Source organism: Homo sapiens, chromosome 4 (assembly GCF_000001405.40).
Source record: "Homo sapiens chromosome 4, GRCh38.p14 Primary Assembly".
Lineage (NCBI taxonomy): Eukaryota > Metazoa > Chordata > Mammalia > Primates > Hominidae > Homo > Homo sapiens.
In genome coordinates this window covers 107,763,371-107,769,606 of record NC_000004.12, presented here as the reverse complement: position 1 = coordinate 107,769,606, position 6,236 = coordinate 107,763,371, and positions in this window count along the sequence as shown.

Genomic DNA, 6,236 nt, shown 5'->3' with positions numbered 1-6,236 from the left:
AAACGGTTAACCAAAGTTCAGCTAAAACTATTATTATTCTAAAGTAACTGGAAATGAATGAAGCTCCTCCCTATCTCCAGGAATAAAAAGAAATGGCATAATTTGGATGTTACTCGATTACCTACCAACAAGCAGATTTTGATTTTGTTAGCAACAGAGGAAAAATAGCTACTCAGAAGTTTTGATGTACCTTTTAAAAAATATCAGGTAGGAATCTAACATGTTTATAAAGCCTTTTAAAACTAAATTATCTTTGTAAAATGTTTGAATAGGCAATACTAGAAAAATTCAAAACACTCCAAAGAGCATCCAGGATAAAGTAAGTTTCCCCAGTACCGTTAGCCACACCCTTGCCCAGAGGAAATCACTGTCACCAGTTTCCTTATATGTCTTTCCAGACATATTCTGTAATCTCATATTTTCACAAATGGTGGTGATGATGATCACAAATCATAACATTTATGCCAGACACTGTTCTAAGCACTTTCTATATATCATCACATTTAACCCTGCCACTAACTATATGATATGTACTTAATCTTAATCCCATGATAGGACTTTTAGAAATAAAATTCTAGAGACAGAGAAGATAAGTAAATTGCCTATCATCACACAGCTGGTTTGGAAGAGCTAGGATTTCTTTTCTTTTCTTTCTCTTTTTTTTTTTTTTTTAAGATGGAGTCTCGCTCTATTGCCCAGGCTGGAGTGCAGTGGTGTGATCTCGGCTCACTGCAACCTCTGCCTCCGGGTTCAAGCAATTCTCCTGCCCCAGCCTCCTGAGTAGCTGGGTCTACAGGCATGTACCACCATGCCTGGCTAATTTTTGTGTTTTTAGTAAAGATGGGGTTTCACCATGTTGGCCAGGCTGGTCTCGAATTCCTGACCTCAAATGATCCACCTGCCTTGGCCTCCCAAAGTGCTGGGACTACAGACTGCACCACTGCGCCCAGCCTGGAAGAGCTAGGATTTCATTCCAGGTGGTTTGGCTTTAAAGCCCAGGGTTTTAATTACTACATTATTGGCATGCTCTACACACCATTTTGTACCTTTCATGTTTCACTTACTACTTTGAAATTGTTTCTATCAATATACATAGAACTAATCCATTTGTTTTAGTGGCTGAACACTATTCCAATTATATCACTTTCCAACTGAGGCTGATATTGTTCTCCAGGGATATTTGGCAATGTCAGAAGGTATTTTTTGGTTGTCACAACTGGAGGGAGGTGTTGGCTACTGGCATCCAGTGGATACAGTTTAGGGACAACCCACTACAACAAAGAATTATCCTGCTCAAAATGTCAATAGTACTAAAACTGAGAAACCCTGTGGCATACTTTCATTTAACCTGGTCCATATTTTTCTAAACTAAAATTCAGCTAAAAGTATTAATAATCAGAAATTTGATTATGCACTTTTGCACTCTAATTTCTATAAGCTAAAAGAGTTGGAAAAAGAAAGTCTGAAGTTGACAATTCTAGATGATTTTGAGTATTCATAGAGACTTCTGCCTATTTGTGAAACCCTTAAGGACTCTGAGAAGGGCAAAACTGAGAAGGCCCAAAGTTTTTGATTGATCTTGTTCAGTCCCAGAAAACATTATTTGATTGACCTGGTTCAGTCTCTCCCTTGGAGTGATAACATATCAAAATAGAAAGCTGACTTTCATTTGCCTAATTAAAATACTGGTAATCCAGAACGCGTTCAACTCCAGAGAAAATTGGGCTCTCTTCATTTCCCTTTAAATAAGGAGGACTGATGGGACTGGCGAGTCTCCTGTTTGATCAGGAGCAATTTTAAAAAGCTACTAGGGTGGACCATCTTTGAAGATGTAATTACCTCATAAGTTCTATTTAGATTGTCTGTATTTATCTATGTTTTTCAAAAATAATCAAAGTAATATATGCTTGTGGTAATTCAAATAATGCTGAAAAATACAAAATAAAAGTTTCTCTCCTGCCCAGCCTAATCTTACTTCCTAAGGATAACCATTATCAAGAGTTTATTATATATTTTTCTAGATGTATTTTTATGTCTGTACAAACATCTGTGTATATATTTATTATAAATACACACATATAGTATTTTTCCCACAAAAAATGAGCTCTATTAATTTACCAAAGACTTATATTTCCATTCCCATCCCATCATTCATCAATTTGTCATGGATTATTCTCCAAGGCAGCCCAAACAGATCTAACTCATGTTTTAAATGACCATATACTGTGTTATGTAGTAAATCAAAATTTATTTGGTAATTACCCTATTGTTGGTAATTTAGATCATTGCCAATTTCTCCTATTTGATAATTCAGCAAAGAGCGACATGACATATATAATTTACACACTTCTATAATTGCTTCTCAAGGATAGATTCTAGAAGTAAATTCGCCAGGTCAGGGAATTTAAGTATTCCCAGTGCATAAAAGTGCCTATTTGCCCGAACCTACTAAAACAAGTAAAAAGAAATTTAAATGACTAATAATAGAGACACAAATGAAATAATTATGGTGCTATAATAGATTAGTTATATGATATTAATAGATACATTATTGCATAAATACTAAAATATTAAGCTTAAAGGAAGTTTTAAATGTGAAAATGTTTATAACATACAGGGTAAATAGTAGAATGCTTTGTATATAAAATTATGTGTGTATAATTTCTACTACTAGTTCCTACTACTAGTTATGTGTGTATAATTTCTACTACTAGTTTCATTGCTGAAACTAGTAGTGTGACATAATTATGTTTCCTTTCCTTTCCCCTGGAGCCAATAATTTTGTCAATTATTCATTCACTTGTCTTCTAAATGCGATTTCACATATTCCAATGCTTGTCAGATAATCTGAGTGCCATTTTGAATTTATTTCCAGAAATCTTTACTCTCCTGCTCCAATCTTGACTGGTTGCCTTGTAGTTCCATTTTATGCTTCGTTACTCTGGCACTTTCTTTTGATATTTTCCTGGGAAATCTCCTCAGCTGTCTTCTCTGTGGAAGCCCATGTTTCCAGAATCCTAGCTTCTTCTTTACTGATTTTCTCCCTATTTGAGAATTTACATGCCTGAAAATGGCTTTGAATCTGTAGCATATTCTCAGGGGTCATTCAGTTTCTGTCTTGAAAGTTTCTCAAAGTCTTGTCCCTGGGATGTGTGTGTGTCTGGCTGCGAGTATTTGGGGACAGGGAATGAGGGCTGGCAGGGATTGGGGGTGTGTTTCTCTGGTAAATATATAGATTCCACCTAATCCACCTATTTTCAGTCCCATATCTCCTCTTGAATCTTTCTGTTCCCATTGTCTGTAAGCCTAAATTCTTTGTGATTCATGTTCTGTAAGGAATAAATCTCAAGTCTGAGAATTTGGAAGGGGATGTTGAGGCTTTTCAGGGTCTAACCACCTCTTACACAGAATTTCCAATGATTCTCTTAATTCCAGACCTGGGCTTTGTACTCCCTTTCTGCAAAACCCAATTCTTGAGCCTTTGCAGCTTGGTTCTGTTTCCTCCTTCTAAAGAAACAGGTTCAGCTTCCTCTATTCCCCTGAGTAATCAAGCTTTCCATCCTCCAAAATACACTGATGTTTCCTGACCCCCTGTGTCTTCTCTCCTGTAATTTTGATTCTTTTAGGCCTATATATTTTAAATATTATTATTGTCATATTAATAGGCATTCAGGAGAGAATAGAAGTGATACATCTATTCAATTCACCAGGTCAAACCAGAAATCTCCATTTCTATTTAAATAATCCTGTGGCATTATCTTTTTCTTTTCTTTTTCTTTCTATTAAGAAATTTTTTTCAAAGATAATTTTGGCAGAAATATAAGTAATGAATTAAGACATTATCTTTTATTTCAAAACATAGTGATTAAAATAAGAGTAGCATTTTGATTCTTTGAGCTATTTTGAACATGGGATTTTTAGTTGGTCACAGATGACTTTTTATTGTTCCCCTGAATATCCCTTTCTTCCACTATGCCTCTTCATAATCAGTTTGTTACATCAGTTCAAATGCAACATTGCTATGTCTCTGTGAGTATCATCTCTTCCTAAATCCTTCAATTTCTCCAAAATTACATTTCTCAGGAAATTCACTTTAGTTGTCATAACTTCTCCATATCGTTCTATTTGTGTAGAACACAGTGACTGTAGCAAAGCTGTCAGAGTAAAAACAAGACAATAGTTAGCTTACTAGTTCTTGTACCTGTAACTCCCAGAATTTTATAGTGAATTTCTTTTAAAATCCTCCACTTGAATATCTGCCTTCATCTCTGACGTTGTCTGCATTTAGTACAGGAAGCAAGGAAAGGAGAAAGGATAGATAATATTGTGTTAATTAATATGTTCATGTTGGGCTGGGTACATTGGCTCACGCCTATAATCCCAACATTTTGGAAGATCAGGGCCAAAGGATTGCTTGAGGCCAGGCGTTTGAGACCAGCCTGGGCAATGTAACAAGACTCTGTCTTTACAAAAAATAAAAATAAAAAATTAGCTGGGCATAATGACCCATACCTGTAGCCTAGCTACTTGGGAGGCTGAGGTGAGAGGATTGCTTGAAACCAGGAGTTGAAGGTTACAGTGAGCTATGATTGCGCCACTCAACCCCAGACTGGGTGACATAGTGAGACCTTGTCTCTAAAGAAAAGTACCATATTGATATAAAAATAAGATAATGATAAATAGTTGATGTAAAATATAAATAATTAATATTCACAAAATTAAACACAGAAACAAGTAACCAAAAGAATTTCCCACATACCAACAACTAGTATAGTATAGTACTTTGGCAATATTTCTATTATTTTAGAGAGATAGATTGTCTCTATATACTGTTTACATAGAAAAAGTTTCAAGTTTTGGATACCAAACAATTGATGTTATTTAATTTTTTCACTGAATTGACTCTTAGTGATGTATAAACATCATTAAATTTGCTCTACTTTTCATACTTTTTGAGTTCAGTTTCATGCATGGTGGGCTTAAGTTAGCTGTGTGTATATGCTCATTCCTATAAAAGAGTTGACACTGAAAAATTAAAATTTCACTCAATCATTGACTTATAACAGTTCTTTTATTATATACCTTATAGTGAAGCTGTCCTTGAACAAACTGGCTGCTCAATATATATTTAATTGAGTTTTTAAAATTTGTTTAGGGATGTTGGTACATAAAAACTGGCAAACTATACGGGAAGTTGTACAAGCTAGTTGTACATATATCATGTAAGAATGATTTTTTGTATAATGACTTCTTTTTCTCTGGGTAGACACACAGTAGTGAGATTCCTGGATCAAATGGTAATTCTACTTTTAGTTTTTTTTAAGGAATCTCCACACTGCAATTGCAAAAATATGGAACCAGCCCAAACACCCATCAATTAATGATTGGATAAGGAAATTGTGGTGTATATGTATATACCATGGAATACTACTCAGCCATAAAAAGGAATGAATTAATGGCATTTACAACAACCTGGATGGAACTGGAGACTATCATTCTAAGTGAAGTAACTCAGGAATGGAAAACAAACCTCGTATGTTCTCACTCATAAGTGAGAGCTAAGCTACCAGGATACAAAGGCATAAGAATGATACGATGGACTTTGGGGATTTGGGGGAAAGTGTGGGAGAGAGGTGAGGGATAAAAGACTACAAATTAGGTTCAGTGTATACTGCTCAGGTGATGGGTGCACTGAAATCCCACAAATCACCACTGAAGAACTTACTCATGTAACCAAATACCACCTGTTTTCCAGAAACCTATGGAAATACAAAATTTAAAAAGAATTTTTTTATTTCATGTATAAATTAGAAATGAATTCACGTATTCTGTACTGGAAAACTGTTATTCTGTTAGGCATTCTTCCATGCACAGTCTCTAGTTAACCTACTAAATTATCAGCTCACTTTATATCTTTGACTTCCCCTAAATAGTGTCTCCTTTCCCAACATTTCAGATAAGAGAAAGCTTGCTGCCCAGGCAGAATCCCCTGAGCAGCTGCACTTGCCTCATTCTCTGCAGCCCCGTCTGCTTTGTTGACCTTCCTCAAGACCTTTCAATATAAGTATCTGAGGTTTTGTTTCCAAGTCTTTCTTCCAGACTATGGAGTGCAGCTGAGAAAAAAAATATATATATAAAGCTCATTGACTCTCTATCTATTTCATTCCCAACACTGGCTCAGTTTTACTCCCTAGGAAACTTCCTTACCAATTGGTGATGAAGAACATTCCAAATCT